The 21,870-nt window shown below is 39.4% G+C and overlaps 1 protein-coding gene across 17 annotated transcripts in view, besides 1 other annotated feature; it reads right to left on the reverse strand.

Moving 5' to 3' along the window:
• CLHC1 (clathrin heavy chain linker domain containing 1) overlaps positions 1-21,870 on the reverse strand; it is a 60,017-nt gene that overhangs the window by 29,754 nt on the left and 8,393 nt on the right. For 2 of the 17 annotated variants that reach the window (NM_001353784.2, NM_001353781.2), the window contains 6 exons: positions 15,511-16,300; positions 10,373-10,506; positions 7,330-7,531; positions 7,104-7,216; positions 6,326-6,410; positions 3,970-4,076 (listed from right to left, as the gene is read on the reverse strand). The exons of 2 other annotated variants lie outside the window; for them this stretch is intronic. In NM_001353784.2, the coding sequence (NP_001340713.1) occupies positions 3,970-4,076; positions 6,326-6,410; positions 7,104-7,216; positions 7,330-7,531; positions 10,373-10,505 (640 nt within the window). In that variant the 5' untranslated portion in view covers position 10,506; positions 15,511-16,300. Of the gene's footprint in view, positions 1-3,304; positions 3,429-3,969; positions 4,077-6,325; positions 6,411-7,103; positions 7,217-7,329; positions 7,532-10,372; positions 10,507-15,510; positions 16,301-19,934; positions 20,194-21,870 lie in introns of all 17 variants that reach the window. 13 more of the 17 variants (NM_001353786.2, NM_001353779.2, NM_152385.4 and 10 more) reach the window with 12 other exon arrangements.
• Positions 21,099-21,478: a silencer, noted in NCBI's record as "silent region_11496". NCBI's record gives its function as "represses an Ori minimal core promoter by ATAC-STARR-seq in GM12878 lymphoblastoid cells {active_cell/tissue: GM12878}" and the evidence as "EXISTENCE:reporter gene assay evidence [ECO:0000049][PMID:35858748]".

The following is a 21,870-nucleotide window of genomic DNA, read 5'->3' on the forward strand; positions in this document are numbered from 1 at the left end:
ATTCCAGCACTTTGGGAGACCGAGGTGTGCGGATCACCTGAGGTCAGGAGTTCGAGATCAGCCTGATCAACATGGAGAAACCCTGTCCCTACTAAAAATACAAAAATTAGCCGGGCCTGGTGGCAGGTGCCTGTAATCCCAGGTACTCGGGAGGCTGAGGCAGGAGAATTGCTTGAACCCAGGAGGCGGAGTTTGCAGTGAGCTGAGATCGCGCCATTGCACTCCAGCCTGGGGGACAAGAGTGAGACTCTGTCTCAAAAAAAAAAAAAAAGTAAAAGAAAAAAATCTAGAGACTCCACCAAAAAACTATTAGAGGCCAAGCATGGTGGCTAACACCTGTAATCCCAACACTTTGGGAGGTCAAGGCGGGCTGATCACTTGAGGTCAGGAGTTCAAGACCAGACTGGCCAACATGGCAAAACTCCGTCTCTACTGATAATACAAAAAAGTTAGCTGGGCATGGTGGTGCACACCTGTTGGCCCAGCGACTCGGGAGGCTGAGGCAGGAGAATCACTTGAACCTGGGAGGCAGAGGTTGTAGTGAGCTGAGATTGCACCACTGCACTCCAGCCTGGGTGACAGAGTGAGACTCATCTCAAAAAAAAAAAAAAAAAACTATTAGAACTGATAAACTCAGTGAAGTTGAAAGATACAAAATCAACATATAAAAATCAGTGCATTTCTATATGCCAACAACAAACAATCTGAAAAAGAAATTTAAAAAAGTAATCCTGCTTATAATAGCCACAAATTAAATACCTAGAATTAACCAAAGCACTGAAACAGCTCTAGAATTAACCAAAGCACTGAAACAGCTCTACAATTAAAACTATAAAACACGGATGAAAGAAACTGAAGAGGACACACAAAAAATGGAAACATATGCCATATTCATGGATTGGAAGAATCAGTATTGTTAAAATGTCTATACTACCCAAAGCAATCTACAGATTTAATGCAATCCCTATCAAAATACCATGAAATTCTTCACAGAAATAGAAGAATCAACTCCCAAATTTATATGGAACCACAAAAGACCCAGAATAGCCAAAAACCATCCTAAGCAAAAAGAACAAAACTGGAGGAATCACATTATCTAACTTCAAATTCTACTACAGAGCTATAGTAACCAAAACAGCACGGTAATGGAATAAAAACAGATGCACAGTCCAATGGAACAGAATAGAGAACCCAGAAACAAATGCACATACCTAAAGTGAACTCACTTTTGACAAAGGTGACAAGAACATATACTGGGGAAAAGACAGTCTCTTCAGTAAATGGTGCTGGGAAAACTGGATATCCATATGCAGAAAAATGAAACTAGGCCCCTATCTCTTGTCATAGAAAAAACCAAATCAAAATGGATTAAATATTTAAATCTAAGACCTCAAACTATGAAACCATACAAGAAAACATTGGGGAAATTCTCCAGGACATTGGTCTCGGCAAAAATTTCTTGCATAATACCCCATAAGCACAGGCAATTGAAGAAAAAAATGGACAAATGGGATCACATCAAGGTAAAAAGCTTCTGCACAGAAAGGATACAATCAACGAAGTGAAGAGACAACCCACAGAATGGGAGAAAATATTTGCAAACTACCCACCTAACAAGGAGTTCATAACCAGAATACATAAGGAGCTCAAACAACTCCATAGGAAAAAAATCTAATAATCTGATTAAAAATGGGCAAAAGATGGCCAGGTGAGGTGGTTCACACCTGTAATCCCAACACTTTGGGAGGCCAAGGCAGGTGGATCACCTAAGGTCAGGAGTTAGAGACCAGCCTGACCAACATGATGAAACCCCATCTCTTCTAAAAATACAAAATTAGCTGGGCATGGTGGTGCATGCTTGTAATCCCAGCTACTAGGGAGTTTAAGGTAGGAGAATCACTTGGACCTGGGAGGCGGAGGTTGTGGTGAGCCGAGATCACGCCATTGCATTCCAGCCTGGGCAACAAGAGGGAAACTCTGTCAAAAAAAGAAAAGGCAAAAGATTTGAATAGACATTTCTCAAAAGAAGACATACAAATGGCAACCAGGCATATGAAAATGTGCTCCACATCATTGATCATTAGAGACATACAAATCAAAACTACAATGAGATATCATCTCAGCCCACTTAAAACAGTAGCTTTTATCCAAGAGTCAGGCAATAAGAAATGCTGGCAAGAATGTGGAGAAAAGGGAACCCTTGTACACTGTTGGTGGGAATGTAAATTAGTACAACCACTACGGAAAACACTTTGGAGGTTCCTCAAAAAATGAAAACTTGGGTTACCATATGATCCAGCAATCCTATGATTATACCATATGATCAACAATCCTATGATTAATGCAGTGCTATTCACAATAGCCAAGATTTGGAAGCAACCTAAGTGTCCATCAACAGACAAATGGAAAGAAAATGTGGTACGTATAGGCAATGGAGTACTATTCAGTCATAAAAAAGAATGAGATCCTATCATTTACAACAACATGGATGGAACCGGAGGTCATTATGTTAGGTGAAATAAGCCAGGCACTGAAGGACAAACTTCACATGTTCTCACTTGTTGGTGGAGTTAAAAATAAAAACAATTGAACTCATGAACACAGTAGAAGGATGGTTACCAGAGGCTATGAAGGGTAGTAGGGGAGTTGGGTGGGGGAGTTGGGCTGTTTAATGGGTTAAAAAAAATAGTTAAATTGTTAAAATGGCCATACTGCCCAAAGCAGGGAAATCTACAAAGCAGGGAACTACAAAATCACAATGAGATACCATCTTACACCAATCAGAATGGCTATTAATAAAAAGTCAAAAGGCAACAGATGTTGGAGAGGATGTGGAGAAAAGGGAACGCTTTTACATTTTTGGTGGGAATGTAAATTAGTACAATCTCTATGGAATACAGTATGGAAATTTCTCAAAGAGCTAAAAATAGAACTACCATTCAATCCAGCAATCCCGCTACTGGGTATCTACCCAAAGGAAAATAAACTATTATATGAAAAAGACACCTGCATTCATTATGTTTATCACAGCACTATTCACAATAGCAAAGTCAGAGAATCAACCTAAGTGTCCATCAAGGGATGATTGGATAAAGAAAATACACACACACACACACACACACGCACACACACACACACACCACAGAATACTACTCAGCCATAAAATAAAACTGAACGCCATTATCCTAAGTAAAATAAATTAGGGCGAGAGAACTAGGAAGTAGCAGGAAGAGAGGGATACTGAGGGGCATGAGGGAACTTTTGAGTGATAATCTCATGGGTGTATGCATATGTCAAAACTTACCAAATTGGGCTGGGCACGATGGTTCACACCTGTAATTCCAGTACTTTGGGAGGCCAAAGCAGGTGGATTGCCTGAGGTTAGGAGTTTGAAACCAGTCTGGCCAACATGGGAAACCCTGTCTCAACTAAAAATACAAAAAATTTAGATGGGTGTGGTGGCACACACCTGTAATCCCAGCTACTCGGGAGGCTGAAACGGGAGAATCGTTTGAACCTGGGAGGCAGAGGTGGCAGTGAGCCAAGACTGTGCACTGCACTCCAGCCTGGACAACAAGAATGAAACTCTGTCTCAAAAAAAAAAAAACTTACCAAATTGTGTACTTTAATATGTACAATTTGTTGTATTATGTCAATTTACCACAAGGAAGCTGTGTTTTAAAAGGATGTGGAGCAAATTTGACAAAGTATTAACATTTATTAAATCTTGATAGTGAGTACATGGGTGTTAATGTTTCTCCATACTTTTCTGTATACTTAAAATCGTTCATAATGTAATTTAGAAAATCTAATCAAATCCCTAATGTTACTGCTAAGCAAACTGAGTAAATGGTAGAGATAGGGCTGGGGCCTAGATCTTTAGTCTCCCAGTTTAATGCTTTTTCTATTTTATGAGAGAAAAAGTAGTAAATTTTCATACATATATAAGGTTCAGAGAGAAATGCTTACCCTTAAATGTATTCATTGTACCAATGTTTCGAAGAATTCTTCTAGGACTGTTTGCTGCATAACAAGCTGCCTTTTCATATTCACCAAGTGAGATTAACTCATTAAACCTATAGCCATCACATTTTAAAATGCATTATAATGACACAAAGAAAAAGAGAAAAAACTGATTAGAAATGTTTAATACAGACTAAATATAGCGGCATAACGATATGGAAAAACAAAAAGGAATTCTAATAAACTATAACTAGAATCATTCACACTGTAAGATGTTCCTTGAAATCCTTCTCTAGTACTCTGTTGGGTTTTTTTTAAGTCTCAGAATAAAACTCCCACCTGCTAGCTGACTTTGAACATGATCCTAAACTTTATTCCTATAGCACTTACAGCAAGCCATAGAGGATGGAAGAAAGAACTTGAATTTATTATGAACTCAGATTTTTTTCCCTGCATATCATCTCCACATGAAAAAGTACTGGCATCAGAGGAAAGAAGGGCAATCTGCTTAGAAACATCGCCTAAAGGAAATATTAATTGAAGATAGAACCTACCAAATTGGGCCGGGCATGGTGGTTCATGCCTGTAATCCCAGCACTTTGGGAGACCGAGGATGGGGGATCACGAGGTCAGGAGATCGAGACCATCCTGGCTAAGATGGTGAAACCCTGTCTCTACTAAAAATACAAAAAAAAAAAAAAATTAGCCAGGCGTGGTGGCATGTGCCTGTAGTCCCAGCTGCTCAGGAGGCTGAAGCAGGAGAATCACTTGAACCCGGGAGGCAGAGGTTGCAGTGAGCCAAGATTGTGCCACTGCACTCCAGCCTGGGCGACAGAGTGAGACTCCGTCTGAAAAAAAAAAAAATGAAGCTGCCAAACTGGAGATCAAGAGGTGTCCTTGGTATTCAGAAGCCTATGTTGTTCTGCCAGGCAACAGGTTCCCAATCGAAGATTAGCACAAGAAGGAAAGATAATAGTTAAGATAACTTAAGCCTCTACTCCTCTTCCTATGGCAAAAGGTCTTCAAATCAGTCCTTACCTCACAATTAATAAAACTATGATAAACAGAAGTTACACAGTGTTGCAAATGAATGTGGAGCCCCAGGCGGAAAACCCACTAAAGTAATATTAAGCAAAATACATAAAACTTTCAATCTCAACAAGGGTTTTTCTCTCATATCAAACTGTCAGACTTACAGAAGCATTACAGTGTAAGGAAATAACATGAGCTTTTGTGCTCTGCCCAAAATTATATTTACCCCCTTCTTTTTACCATACCAACAATCCAATTAACAGTTGAAAACTGTTTAACATATAAAGACCAGGAATATTACATATGTTCATTACAGATAAGCGTCATAGCCTATGAATTAACCTCTTAAAGAATATAGTCTTACTATGTATTAAAAATGTTTAAAAATGCTCCTGCATGTTAAACACCAGGGGAGCAACTGTGAGGGGAAAAAAGGAGGGAAAAGGAATTGAAGATAGCAGGAATGATACACAGTAGGATGTCAACTGTAACAAACTTCTACAAAAAGAGCTGAAGTAAATACGGCAAAATGTTAATTTCTTGCTAAGTTGGTACACAGAATAACATTTTGTTAATGTTATTGTCTGTATTTTTATGTATACTTGAAATATTTGATGAAAGTAATGTTTGATAAAAAGTAAACAAAGTAAAAAAGAATATAGTCTTAAATCTCTTTAATCTTATATACTATGTATAATAACTTAAGTATTAGGGAGAAATATGCCTCCTTAATAAGTCAGGGGATAGAAGTAATGAGAAAGAAAGGACTGAATTGGCTAGAATAATCTGAATCAGGAAGACATTCTCAAAAACATTTTGTAACATCAGGTTGATAGCTAGGAAATGTAAGAAAAATACAGGCTGGGTTTCCCTTATCCTAAATGCGTGGGACCAGAAGTGTTTTGGATTTCAGATTTTTTCATATTTTGGAATATATGCATGTACATAATGAGATATCTTGGGGATGGGATCCAAGTCTAAACACAAAATTTATATTTCATATATACCATATACACATAGCCTGAAGGCAATTTTATATAATATTTCTAATAATTTTGTGCATGAAACAAAATTTGTGTACATATTGATCTATCACAAAACAGAGGTATCACTATCTCATGTCAGTGCTCAAAATTTTTCGGATTTTGGAGCATTTCAGATTTCAAATTTTTGGATTAGGAATGCTTAACCTGTATAAATAAAACATATCAACATTATAATCCTCTTATCTCCTCTGAAAAATCTCCTAGATTCCCAATCTGGTATGTTATTCACAAAGAATCTATGAAAAAATATAATTCTGAAAAATTAAAGCTTTTAAAATATTTGCCTTTCAATGTAGTGAAGCATAATTTCAGCTTCTTTTGCCCTGCGTGGATCATCTTCCATTAGTTCTTCAACAATGCCTTGGTCACCTGTAAATATTGAAAGTACTACTGGAAGATATTTAAGGTTACTTACCAATAGAAAACAATAAACATACATGTGTTTAATACCAACAGCTTATTGCTATGGCTCCTAACAGCAGCAACCTCTTCCTAAACTTAGTGGCCTCCCCGTCCCTTTCCTCTTTTTTTTTTTTTTTTTTTTTTTGAGACGGAGTCTGGCTCTGTCACCCAGGCTGGAGTGCAGTGGCCCTATCTTGGCTCACTGCAAGCTCCGCCTCCCGGGTTCACACCATTCTCCTGCCTCAGCCTCCCGAGTAGCTGGGACTACAGGTGCCTGCAACCACACCCGGCTAATTTTTTGTATTTTTTTTAGTAGAGACGGGGTTTCACTGTGTTACCCAGGATGGTCTCGATCTTCTGACCTCGTGATCTGCCCGTCTCAGCCTCCCAAAGTGCTGGGATTACAGGCATGAGCCACCGTGCCCGGCCTCCTCTTTATTTTGATGTACATTTTCAGGCATTCTGTCTTTGGCTCACCAAGTCTATTCTTTACTAATTATCTGTTAGCTGTTGAAGGAAGAAACCCATAGCGTAACAGACAACCAGCTGAAGTATGATCTTGCTTTATTTAAACTCAGCCTAAGAAAACCCCATTCTAACTAGCTAGCGAAAAAAATGTCTTCCATTATTGGTACTAATTTAAAAATATAGATAATCTACCTTGTAAATATTTGGTTTTCTGAATTTGCTCCACAAAGTCTTGAAATGGGCTGCTCATATCAGATTTTACCCATGAACTAAGTGCCTGTGAAATTATCTGCAGTCTTTGATGACTAAAAAGATAAAAAACGTCAATAACACACTGAGCCTAAAATCAAATGGTGGAATATTAGAATAAACACAAATAAAACTCCAAACTTTAAAAACATATAATCAACTTCCATACCAAAACTGCAATTTTTTGTTCAGATTTTCAGCTACATCTCGCCGTTTTAATAACACAATCATTTCTTCATCTAAATCAGCCTTCCTCTGAGCTGGCACATATTTTATCAACATAGCTTGTTTAATTTCTGCATATTTATCTTCAAGATGTTTCATGTATTTAGTGAGAGCATCTAGATTCATGGATTCTTGAAGAGTCATGCCTATGGGGAAAGGGAACAAATCAAACACGACAAGCCATGTGTGGGACGCTTGTGCTCAAAGAGCAAGTCTTAGAAAGACAGTTCACTATGTTAAGAAACAATTTAGAAATGATAGTATGTACTTATAGCTTACTGAACATAAGTAAAATTAGCATAAACTTGTGAATGGCTAGCAGGTTATTTATTTATTTATTTATTCATTTATTTAATACAGACAGGGTCTTGTTATGTTGCCCAGGCTAGTCTTAAAACTCCTGGGCTCAAGCAATCTGCCCACTTCAGCCTCCCAAAGTGCTGGGATTACAGGCGTGAGCCACTGTGCCAGGCCAGGCTAGCAGTTTTATTTTATTTTATTTTATTTTATTTTTATTTTTATTTTTTTTGAGATGGAGTCGCACTCTGTCGCCCAGGCTGGAGTGCAGTGGTGCAATCTCAGCTCACTGCAACCTCTGCCTCCCAGGTTCAAGCAATTCTCCTGCCTCAACTTCTGAGTAGCTGGGACTATAGGCGCCTGCCACCATGCCCGGCTAATTTTTGTATTTTTAGTAGAGATGGGGTTTCACCATGTTGGCCAGGCTGGTCTTGAACTCCTGACCTCAAGTGATTCGCTCGCCTCGGCCTCTCAAAGTGCTGGGATTACAGGTGTGAGCCACCACACCCAGCCTCAGGCTAGCAGTTTTAAACATTATCAATGAAGACTCGGTGAAGACTGAGAACACATAAACCTTAGCATCTGAAAAAAAATTTTTTAGTGATTTCATTAACACACCCTGAAGACCCGTAAATATCACTGTTACTCAGTAACGCCACGAGCTTCTGCCTAACAATTCAGGATTTGTCAACAGATTTCTCTCTAAACAAATCTCTCATTACCCTATTATAGCTAACCCCAGAGTAATCAGTTTATTATTCTCAACACAAAATATAAATGCCTGCCAAATCTTCAGTCCTCTCTCTCACTCTCCCGTCTACTTATTATTCATAACTCTCTCTCTTTCTCTTCAAATGCCTTTAAAAAATATGTAGATATATATATAGAGAGAGAGAGAGAGGCTCTCACAGGGTCTGCCCAGGCTGGTCTCAAACTCCTGGACTCAAGAGATCCTCTCACTTCAGCATTCCAAAGTGCTAGTATTACAGGCATGAGCCACTGTGCCCAGCCCTAAATAATCCTCCTTTCTCATCTGGGCCAATTGTTGACTTTAGTACATATCACAAAATACTCCTCCCCCAGAAACTTACCTGCATTGATTCTACTTAATTTTAACCAGTCCCTTACCCAGAATTTTCTCAGCACTTAGTCCCAATTTGTCAGTTATACTGTACTTATTAATATGTATCTTATTCGTCATTTGCTAGTCACAATTTTATATTTGAAAGTGAATCTAGGCCAGGTGCAGTGGCTCACGCCTGTAATCCCAGCACTTTGGGAGGCCGAGATGGGCAGATCACAAGGTCAGGAGATCAAGACCATCATGGCTAACACGGTGAAACCCCGTCTCTCCTAAAAATACAAAAAAATTAGCCGGGCGTGGTGGCAGGCGCCTGTAGTCCCAGCTACTCAGGAGGCTGAGGCAAGAGAATGGTGTGAACCCAGGAGGCGGAGCTTGCAGTGAGCCAAGATCAGGCCACTGCACTACAGCCTGGGTGACAGAGCGAGACTATGTCTCCAAAAAAAAAAAAAAAAAAAAGAAAGTGAATCTAGTCCCTACTTTTATGAAACACAAGATGATTATTCAACCTCATTTGAAATCCTTTAGTATAGAGTAGCTCATTACTTCAACACACAGCTTCTTCCACCAAGACCAAATCTGGCTTCCTAAAATTTCTACCTATTAATCCTGCCTCAGAATAAACACTAGCCAAAATCTTTAAAAGTTTGGAATACCATTATCTTTTCTCAAAGTCTTTCTTTTTTCCAGGATGAATATCTGTAATTCCTCTATCCACTCATCGTAAAAACCTCTCCATATCCTAGATGAATTCCAGGATATACTACAATTTCTTAAAATGTGGTAACAGTATTATGCTGAAGATGTGGAAGCAGTGAATGCTGACATCAACATGAATCAACAATATCCACCAAAACTTAATACACTACAGTTTTCCTTATATTATACCAGTCGTTCTCAAACTTTAGAGTGCATCAAAAAAACCTGAAGCGGCTGGGCACAGTGGCTCATGCCTTTAATCCCAGCACTCTGGGAGGCTGAGGCGGGTGGATCGCTTGAGCCCAGGAGTTTGAGACCAGCGTGGACAACATGATGAAACCTCATCTCCACTAAAAACACAAAAATTATCTGGGCACAGTGGCACGCGCCTGTAATCCCAGCTACTTGGGAGGCCAAGGCACGAGAATCGCTTAAACCCTGGAGAGGGAGGTTGCTGTGGGCCGAGATCACACCACTGCACACCCAGCCTGGGTGACGGAGAGAGACTAGGTCTCAAAAAAGAAAAGAAAAGAAAAACCTGAAGGTCTTGTTAAGACACTGCTGAACTCCACCCACTGAGTTTCTGACACAGTTAAGTCTCTGATCTGATGGGAATCAGGAATTTGCATTTCTAAGAGGTCTTTAGGTGATGCTGATGTTGATACAGGAAACCATACTTCAGGAGCCACTGCATTACACTTTATATAACCCAGCTGACTGAAACTCAATCTTTTAGAGTTCGTTTTTCCATTCCCTTGAATCTACCTACAGTCCTGACTAAAATTATGTGTACAACACACACACATGTGCAAGATGCACATACATCAGCACATTTATATTAATGCATGCCTTAGGTAAAAATTGGAAATAATCAGGATTTCTCTCAAATATTTTAAACAAAATACAATACCTGGAATAGGTTTTGAAGGATCTTTGGAGAAAGTACAATATTTTACTTCTTTTGTGTCATACTCTGCCCTACACTGCTTGATGTGATCTATTTGAGATTGAATCTTCGAGGAATTACTTTCGATAATCCTCATTCTGGAAAACAGAAAGGCTTTCTTATGTCTTTCAACTAACTTAATTCTTGAACCACAAAACCTAAAGTCAAACAGGTTAAATCATTACTTTATTTTGAACCATTATGGACTAGGTGAAATGCCCTGAAAAAGTTATCTAGCCTCACAAATGAGGAAGAATTTTCTTTCTGAGCATCAATAAAATCTCATACTATGATTCTGAACCCTATTGGAAATTCGTTAAGTGCTAATCACAATAATATGGCCACAAACTATTCTCTTTAGTAGAAAATTACTTTTGTAATTTAAAAAATATTTTGGTAAGTAATTATATTAGTTTCCTGTGGCAACTGTAATAAATTACCACTAACCTGGTGACTACAAACAACAGAAATTTATTCTCTTACAATTCTGGAAGCCAGAAATTCAAAATCAGTATCACCGGACCAAAATCAAAGTGTTGGCAGAGCCGTGCTTCCTTCAGAATCTGTTCCTTGCCTTTTCCAGCCTTGGGGCTGCAGGCATTCTGACTTCATCACTTCAGTCTCTGCCTCTATGGTCATACTGCCTTCTCCTCTGCCTATGGCAAAGCTCCTGTTTCCCTCTTATTAGGACATTTATGATCATATTTAGGGCTTACTTTTATAACCTCCCTATCTCAAAATCTTTAATCACATCTGCAAAGACCCTTTTTCCAAATACGGTTAACATTTAGGGGTTCTAGAGACTAGGACCTGATGTCTTTGAAAAACTTTATTGAGCCTACTACAGTAATTTTGATCCTAGAGCTAGAGGAAGGACAGCACTTCCCTGAGATAAAACTAAGTTTATCCAGAAATGAAAATTTTAAAGACCAAAAGGTAGTATAAACTTCTCTTAAGCATTATTTGAAGTTTTCTTCCTAGTTATGTTGGCCCAAGGGAGAAATAACATATTAAAATACACACAGAAAAATTATTTTTGACACTTGTTAAAGCATAGTAAGGAAGACTTTTTTCAAGAGGGGCCATGCCAATAGCTATAGGAACCACTACAATGGAGAATGATTGGACTCAATCTGAATATGACATGGGCAAGTGGGAAGTGGTAGCTAAGGAGCAGGGTGGGGTCAGTGGATGACAAATTACTAAAAGAAAACATCAGATGTGAGGAGAGATTCTGGATAAATTGACCTAAGAGGATTCTAGTTGAAGGCAGGTCACAGTAACTAGGCATCACCTGGAGGATGGTTGGGGGATCACATGTCATGGATGGGGGGTTCTGGCTAAACTTGCTTCACAGGATTCTTGCTAAAACTGAATGGTGCAGAGATGAATGTGGAAGTCCAAAAGTCAGGCCTAGTTGAAAAGGGTTCAGGAGAGCCTGAGTAAAATTTGATCAGGAAGAGAATTTTTGTCAATACATAAATGTCACAGGGTTTTTGGCAAATTAAAAACAAGTTTGGGCTGGGCGCGGTGGCTCATGCCTGTAATCCCAGCACTGTGGGAGGCCAAGGAGGGCAGATCACGAGGTCAGGAGTTTGAGACCAGCCTGACCAACATGGTGAAACCCCATCTCTACTAAGAATACAAAAATTAGCTGGGTGTGGTGGTGGGCACCTGTAATCCCAGCCACTCGGAAGGCTGAGGCAGGAGAATAATTTGAGCCCGGGAGGCAGAGGTTGCGGTGAGCCAAGATCATGCCATTGCACTCCAGCCTGGAAGACAGGGCAAGATTCCGTCTCAAAAAATAAAATAAAATAAAAAACGAGTTTGTCAGTAGATAACTGCTGGCTGCTGCTTCTGATTATTATATAGTGCTCTTGGTAACTATTGATGGCTCAGAGTAAGAGCTTACAGTATTTATGAAAGGATTGTGGAAATAAAATATCCACTGGCTTTATTCTAAATAGATTTGTGCTTATAAACAAAAGATATGTCAAAAATAAGCAGGTTTTCAAAAGAAACTGAAAGCAGATACTTGTATATGAATTTTCAGAGTGGCATTATTCACATAGCCAAAAATGGAAACAATCCAAGTGTCCAAAAAACAGATGAATGGATAAACAAAATGTAGTATATACATACAATGGAGTATTATTCAGCCATAAAAAGGAATTAAGTTCTAATACATTACCACATGGACGAGAAAGTATCTAATTTTTGCTGCTTTCTATGCTAATTTTATGATCTCTATTTTTGACAACTTCACTGAGATGAATCTAGTTGAGTATTTCTTCGTATTTATGATGCTTGGGATTCTTTGGGTTTGTTGAATCTGTGAATCAGTATCTTTCACATATTTTCAGTATTACATTTGGTAAATGATAGATAAATTATTTTCATAGAGAATTTTAACTCAACTTGGAAAACTATGCAAAGTTTGACCTCCATTTCTGGCAATATGACTGGCCAGATGTTGAGATGGACCTTCCTACTGAAGAAAAGTACTACAGAATATATTTTTAAAAAATCTTTCCAAAAGCATCAGAAAGTCAAAATCAGGGCAAAATCTAACAGAATAGAGAAAACTCTCAGCTGTTATTTCTTCAAATATTGTCTTTGTCCCATATTCTCTTCATTGTAGAGCTGTGATTAGACATAACAATATGACCTTCCCACTCTGCCTTCCATCTTTTTATAATAGCTTCATTGAGATATAGTTCACATACTTCAAGAATCATCCTTGTATATATAGTTCAAGGAATTTTAGTATAGTTGTGCAACCACAACCACTATTTAATTCCAGAACATTTCGTTGGCCCCAGATAAACTGCATACCCATCAATGATCAGCTGAGTAAAGGGCAATTTTCCTTGCGGTCCCAGGGGTGGAGCAGTTTACCTCTGGTTCACCCTATGATGATAGCCTTTTAGCATCCTAGCTTTATATGGTGAGTGTTTCCCAATAGACTATACCAGGTGGAGCGATCTTGGGCTGTGCTTTTTATTCTGCATGCCGTAGTAAAAACTGAAAATTATGGTCACTAGCTTTTAAAAAAATGTTCTCGGGTCCAAAGCAGTTTTAGTGCTCCACTTATCTTTTGTCTTCTGTTAGATTTTGCCCTGATTTTGACTTTCTGATGCTTTTCGGAAGATTTTTGAAAAAATGTATTAGGTAGTATTTTTCCCCAGTAGGAAGGTCTATCTCAACATCTAGCCAGCCATATTACCAGAAATGGAGGTCAAACTTTGCATAGTTTCCAAGTTGACTTAAAATTATCTGTAAAAGGCCGGGCACGGTGGCTCATGCCTGTAATTCCAGCACTTTGGGAGGCCGAGGCGGGCGGATCACCTGAGGTCAGGAGTTCGAGACCAGCCTGGCCAACGTGGTGAAACCCCATCTCTACTAAAAAAAAAAAAAAAAAAAAAAAATTAGCCGGGCATGGTGGCAAGAGCCTGTTAATCCCAGCTACTTGGGATGTTCAGGCAGGAGAATCGGTTGAATCTGGGAGACGGAGGTTGCACTGAGCCATGAGCCAAGATCACACCATTGCACTCCGACCTGAAAAAGAGCGAAACTCCGTCTCAAAAAAAAAAAAAGAAAATTATCTATAAAAATAATTTATCCATCAGTGACCAAATGTAACACTGAAAATATAAGACTACTTAACAAGATTGAGCATCTTATCCTCTCCCAGTAGGTTACTTACCTTTGTGAATAACAGGATTAAGTGCTCTAATTCAGATAGTAATCATGAAATTGTACTATTAAATCTTCCATGGAGGAAATTACCTGGAGCAATTACCTGCATCCCTTATTTATTTTATTTTATTCCTTTTTTTTTTCTTGAGATGGCGTCTCGCTCTGTCACCCAGGCTGGAGTGCAGTGGCGCAATCATGGCTCATTTGTATCCATCTCTCAAGCTCAACCAATCCTTCCACCTCAGCCTTCCAAGCAACTGGGACCACACCCAGCTAATTTTTTTTTAAACTTTTTTGTAACGACAGGGACTCACTATATTGCCCAGGCTGATTTCAAACTCCTGGCCTCAAGCAATCCTCCTACCTTGGCCTCCCAAAGTGCTGGGATTACAGGTGTGAGCCACCCTGTGCGGACCCTCATTTTATGATACAAAATGTGCTTTCAATTATACTAAGAGGGCCAGGAGTGGTGGCTCATGCCTGTAATCCCAGCGCTTTGGGAGGCTGGGGCATGCAGATCGCTTGAGCTCACAAGTTGGAGACCAGCCTGGGTAACATGGTGAGACCCCAGTCTCTACAGAAAATACAAAAATTAGTCTGACATAGCAAAACTCCATCTCTACAAAAAAATACAAAAATTAGCCAGGCGTGGTAGCTTGTGCCTGTAGCCCCAGCTACTTGGGAGGCTGAGGTGGGAGGATCACTTGTACCTGGGAGGCAGAGGTGGCAGTGGGCCAAGATCAAGCTACTGTACTCCAGCCTGGGCAACAGAGCAAGCCCTGCTTCAAACAAACAAAAAGACTATAACTGCCCACTCTTGCCTTTTTGGCCAGCACAGTGGTTCACACCTTTAATCTTAGCACTTTGGGAGGCTGAGGCAGGAGGACTGCTTGAGCTCAGCAATTCGAGACCAGCCTGGGCAACATAGTGAGACCCCATCTCTATTTTTAATATTAAAAAAAAAAATTAGCTGGGCATGGTGGCATGCACCTGTAGTCCCAGCTATTCAGGAGGCTGAGGCAAGACAACTGCTTGAGACCAGGAGGCAGAGGTTGCAGCGAGCCAAGATTGCGCCATTGCACTCCAGCCTGGGCAACAAGAGTGAAACCCTGTCTCAAAAAAAAAAAAAAAAAAAAAAAAAAAAAATATATATATATATATATATATATATATATATACTAAGAGGTACTATAAACGTTCTCAAACAAAAGTAATATTTTTTAATTGAAGTAAGTAAACAATACAGTAACTTCAAGTTACTAGGAGAAGGTAACATAAAAATGCATCATTTAAATAAAATTGAAATTCAATAAGACTAAGAACCACCAGCTAGAGTTACACTGGCTAGTTATTATAATCAAGCAACAACTACCATCTTTTGGGCTAGTTACTAAAATACTTACTTTGCTTCAAGTTGGATTGTTCTTTTCCTGTAATATACCAAAGCTGTAGGCTCTGCTGCCAAACCTTTAAGTTTTCCATGAAGACAAAATGTAGTTCTTCGGTCTTTCTTTATTGTCTCAATAAAGGCATCATATTCTTTTTTGATTGAAGTAAGAATGGATTTGTATGCAGTGATATGCTCTATTACCTGAAATATTATTTTTCTGCCTATGGTATTGATTTTTTTTCTAGGAGGCTATGGATTGAAATTCTTGCAAATAACATTATAGATTATTTTAAAAATGAAACATGATTAGCAATTAGAAATCTAAACTCTACAGCAAGCTCAAACATAATTGGACACTAAAGGCAATATTTACTAAACATGTGCTCTTTGTGGAACATTACAGTAGATAATGTGGAGTTTAAATATGAGAGAAAAAAAGGCCATTTTTGTTCTACTTGGTATGAACACATGCATTATATGATTTCAGTTAAAACTAATGCTAGTTCTAATTTTCCCAGTTCTGAATCTTTTAAATAGAATTCTGTATCTTCTCTTACTCGCTCCAAATCTAGTCTCTAACTTCACTTAAACCTTAAAATCCTGGATTCTCTTCACCTCCTTATTTTTCTAACCCATCAGCTCCTATTGGCTCATCAATATTCTCAATATCTAATTGCATTTCTATTCCCAGTCATGTGCAACTGTAAAAAACCCCTCATCACTATACATTCATGGCTTCAAATGGTGTTTAGGCATAGAAAATCTCTGGAAGGATAACAGAAGAAAACAGAAACGGTGGGTGCCTGCAGAGAAGGACAGGAGAAGTAGAATCTGAGATGAGAAGGTCCAGACTTTCCATTGTACAATCTCCTTTACTGGTTTATTTATTCATTTATTTTTTGTTAATCTTATATATGCATTACCCATGCAAAAATAAACATTTTTAAATAAGTCAAAAAATAAAAATAGAAAAGTTATAAATAATGTATGGTTTCTAAATTCTGCACATGAGGATTTCAGAGGGATTGAAGAATACAGAGAATAGACAGGCTCAATTCCTAATTTTCTCAGAAAGCTGCAATTATGCTTTCTATTCCTGCTACATCTCTAGCCTCTGGTATCCCCCACTGGCTTTCTTTACCTAGGCAATATCTAGAAAAAATTATCTAGGAAGGCATCTGGTCTATGAGCAAATGATATAAGGAGATTATTGATCTCCTGGCAAGTGCCAGGAGAGGATATTTGAGTGGGTGATACTTGTGGTCTTTTAGACATGACCTTACTACCTATCCACCCAAATCAAGAATCCTTAATAAAATAGAGGTCATCAATCTGCGGCTTTCCAAATTAAGTACCCTGTTGCTCCTGGCCATCTACTTCATGAACTCCTCTGATATGCTCCAACAATCCAAGACAACTCAGATATATTAATGAGTAGGTAATAAATATGTAGTGGTATCATGATCAGCTCCCAAGTCTGTTTGTTAGAAAAAACAGATTTCAGAAGAGCACTCATGGGAACCTTTAAGAATGCACAGAAAATACACTAAAGTAGAAATATGCAAACTGGCATATCACAGGTTGAATTCAGCTGGCAATTTTGCTTAACCAACAAAATATTTTAAAATTTAGGGAATTTTAACCCAAAATCACATTTTCAGCTTCTCTTACAAACTCTGAAAAATCTACCTACATGGAATCCCTATTCCTTAATGGCAATAATAGCTGGAGCTTTCGATTACAATCTCCTTTACTGGTTTATTTATTCATGGTTTTATTTATTTATTTATTTATTGTGGTTTTTCATTTTACCACAATCCCCACCATTCCTTATTCTCTTATAGTCAGCCCACTTAACTCTTTTATATTACCTTGGTGGCCTCTGCAGGCATTTAAGTTTGAGACCCCAGCATTAAGGCTGCTACTAAATCCAAGAAAATAACCATAGCTATATTTACCAGGTACAGGGGTCTAAGGAAGAAGAGGAATGGTTTCCATTCCACCTCAGCTCCTCCATATGGATCTGAACTATTTGTACAATATGCTACAGGAACACAAAAGGTCAGCAACTTTACAGAGTCCAGCTACCTCCATATCCCTGCCCACCTTTTCTTTTTTGGTAGAGACAGAGTGTTGCTATGTTGCCCAGGATGGTCTCAAACTCCTGGCCTCAAGCGATGCTCCTACCAATCCTCCCAAAGTTCTAGGATTACAGACATGAGCTACTACACCTAGCCCAGTAAGTCATCCATTTCTAAAAAAGTTCATTCTTCCAAGCTTTGGTCTTCTCTGCTTACTAGGTTTTTCACTCACCCTACAGTCCACCCCCAACTCTTGGTATGAGTTTCAAGTCCTCCTTGCTTTGATTCAGGTATGATTCTCCAGGTCAAACCATCTATCTTTGATTTTAAACACAATTTGGTATTTGTTCCCTAGTTCCAAATACCCAGAGATGCAAGCTGACACTTTTATCTTCTGCCCAACTAGTTCCTTTTAAGAGGGTAGGAAGAGCAAAGAAGACAGTCATTAATAGTTCATTAACAATCAAATGTGCTAAAATAATGTGAAAATGAAGAAGGTAAATTATGTTATCAAGAAGCTAGAAGAAAAGTTTCTCAAAGTACCAAATGATTTCCATTTCTAGATCCCCTCTCAGTCCTGAAGAACAGAATTCTTTACAAGGTAAAATTTACAATTATGCAATGTGCAAATAGTACAAACAGAAATCTTTTCTCCTCACCAGGAGAAAAGAAACAGGGACCATATATGTCAATATTATTTTCTATTTAACACCATATGTTTTCTCTAGGAATTAAATTTACCAACAATACCTCCAAAATGACTTCACTATAACTATATTAATGTAAAGCAGAGAGCTCTTCATGTAAGAAAAATTCTGACAAGTGTTAACACTTGGGCATGCAAAGATAAACATGTTACAGTTATGACTTTCCTTTGCTAATTTCACACAGTAGAGTCGCAGCATGACTCTTGATATTTATAAAACCTATTCAATACCTTACCTTTATTTAAACATTCATTCAATGCATTCCTTAATAACTAAAACACCAAGAGCAATATCATTGATCCTAACAGCATATAAAATGAAGCTAACCTGCCAATGTACCACTTCTAAAGGATAGATTTTCTGTATGATATAAAAAGAAGGAAAGACCCTGTTTCTCTATTTTATACTCCTATGAATACGTATCAACTTTCCTTATTCTACTGGTAGGTATATATCACTATCTGAACCTCACTTTCTCTTAGAGTGAGGCACTAGGTTTTTATTTAGAGGAGAAATAAGAGTCATAGTGTGTAATGTTTAAAAATTAAAAGACTGAGTTTCTATTTTGCCTGTGACTGTTTTCTCAGAGACCAACAGTTTACTGAAGCCTTAAGGTAAGTACTTCCTGTGGCAAAGAGGAAAGATGCTGATTTCACTTATTTCACTGTCAAGGCATCTTCCGGGGATGGGGTGGAAAAAAAAAGCTGCATAAATAAATTAGGATTGGTGGGCAAACTGCAATTGTTTAGAAGGATAATAGGTATTTCTAAAACCGTAAAAAGCAAAATCAAATATGTTCCACAAAGTCAGAGCATTTTCTAAGCTGATCTCCCTATTTCCAATATTAATTCCAGTCTAATTCCTTGTAAACCATGACTAGATAATTCTAGATAGAACTCCAATCTACAAGGAACCTCAATTTAATGTTAGATCAAATCTAAACCAAGATTTTAATGATACCACAAACAAACTCAAAATAACAAGGAAGTATCATGTTTCTGCTTGCAGCCCAATTCCTAACAAATCAGATGATACTTTTAGATGAAAAGGTGAAAATTATTATCAGAGGGTACATACAGCCAGGTAGTTGATCAAAAACTGATAGTCTGGGCTAGGCACTGGTAGTTCATGCTTGTAATCCCAGCACTTTGGGAGGCCAAGATAGGAGGATTGCTTGAGGCCAGGAGTGCAAGACCAGCCTAGGCAACACAGAGACCTTGTCTCTACAAAAAATTTTAAAAATTAGTCAGGAGTGGTGGCACAAGTCTGTAGTCCCAGCTATACAGGAGGCTGAGGCAAGAGGATAACTTGAACCCAGGAGTTTGAGGCTGCAGTGAGATATGAGTGTGCCACTGCACTCCAGCCTGGGTGATACAGTGAGACTCTCTCTTTAAAAAATATATAAAGGAAACTTATAATCTGCTCTCAAGCTAAAATAACTGAAACACTCATTCACAGTCAGGAAATACAAATCCAGAATTGCATTTTTCCCATTCATGCCTTTCTGAGAAATTGGATGAACTTCTCAAAATCAGCAAATGGAATGTTATCATTCAAACAGTGGTGTTACTAAGGCAGGAATATTGGTTGTCAACATAGATCATTGCTATCCTCATGAAAACTTAATTGTCTTAAAAGCTTTATGATACCTTATCAAAAACATTTCGGTATATGATGTAATATTCATCAGCAGGTCCTTCCTCACTACAGCCCAGTCTTTCAGTTTCTGTAATTATGTATCTTTGCACACTTTCCAAAAATTCCTTGTCACTTCTACAAATGATAGGTGGGAGAACTGCATGTTTTCTTATTTGATGAACTGACATATTTGACAATCTGCACACTTGTTCACTGAAGAACAGCTAAATCTTGACCTGCTCTTGCAACAAAGCCAAAACTTTGATAAGCCTGAAAGAAAAAAAGAGCATCAATTAATATAATAATTTTTTAACTTAAGTCAAATATTGATCTAAAAATGTATTTTTTTTAGAAAAAAATTTCCTATCTGTCTCTGTGATAAATACTTCAACCTATGTATTAAAAGGTCTATGCTGCCAAGCGTGGTGGCTCATGCCTGTAATCCCAGCTCTTTGGGAGGCCGAGGCAGGTGGATCATCTGAGGTCCGGGAGTTCGAGACCAGCCTGACCAACATGGAGAAACCCCGTCTCTACTAAAAAAGACAAAATTAGCCAGGCGTGGTGGCGCATGCCTGTAATCCCAGCTACTCGGGAGGCTGAGGCAGGAGGATCGCTTGAACCCCGGAGGCGGAGTTGCGGTGAGCCGAGATCGCGCCATTGCACTCCAGCCTGGGCAACAAGAGCGAAACTGTCTCAAAAAAAAAAAAAAAAAAAAAAAAGTCTATGCTATTCCACTGCCATATGCTGCTGCTCTGGGACAGAAATACCAAACACCAGTCAATGAAGAGCTCTTCTCTTGCTAACTATGCACAACTCCTCTCACATGTATCATATAATCGATGGTTTCTTATGTATAATTCACACTTTCTAATAGAAGGTTTGGTATTTTATATTTATTTGTGTCATGTGGGAAAACTAATTTGTAAGCCTCTTGACACAAACAAGGTCAACTATTTTACGACCCCGGCGCTTATCTGGCCTAGCTTCACCCAGCACACAATAGCAATAAATAATGTATTTATTTTTATAATAAACTTTATTTTAATTCTCATCTTTAATATTAAAGTACCAAGCAAAAAGAGGTCCGGACTTCTGCTAAAATCCATCCCTCAATGATGTCAAAAGTAACAGTATTTTTCAGAGTATAGCTTTCAAGCAGCCGCATTATGCCGCTTTCAGTAAAGAATCATGGGCGGCGGCGGCCTGGCGGGGGCGAGCGCGCTGTGGGCCGGCCCCGCGCAGCCTCAGGGCACCTCCCGCTCGCCGGGACTGAGTTCCGCGCCGGCGTGGCCTGCTGTGCTCCGAGCGCCAAGGGTCGGCGCGACCGCTCTCGGCTTTGGGGACCGGATGGAGGAGCGGCGTGTCGGCCTCGGGGGACGGTTCCCCCGACCTCAGACGGCTCTGGGGCGAGGGAGGGCGCGCGGAGGCTCGCGGGGACCACTGGCGCCCCCGGACCCGCTCAGCGGTCCCTGCTCACAGGCACCGCCCCCAGGAGCCTCGGCAGGGGCCTAGGACGCCCCGGTGTTCAGAAGAGAAGCAGGGTCAGGTTCACGCACACCCGCGATCGGATCGTAACTTTTTTTTTTTTTTGAGACGGAGTCTCGCTCTGCCGCCCAGGCTGGAGTGCAGCGGCGAGATCTCAGCTCACTGCAAGCTCCGCCTCCCGAGTTCACGCGATTCTCCTGCCTCAGCCTCTTGAGTAGCTGGGACTACAGGCGCCCGCCACCACGCCCGGCTAATTTTTGTATTTTTAGTAGAGATGGGGGTTTCACCATGTTGGCCAGGCTGGTCTTGAACTCCTGACCTCGTGATCCATTCGCCTCGACCTCCCAAAGTGCTGGGATTACAGGCGTCAGCCACCGCGCCCAGCTGATCGTTAACCTTAAAGTCATTGGTAACCCATGCTTCCTGGAGTTGCATTTGGGGTCACCCAGCGGCGAAGCCCAT

The sequence above is a fragment of the Homo sapiens genome, chromosome 2 (assembly GCF_000001405.40).
Source record: "Homo sapiens chromosome 2, GRCh38.p14 Primary Assembly".
NCBI lineage: Eukaryota > Metazoa > Chordata > Mammalia > Primates > Hominidae > Homo > Homo sapiens.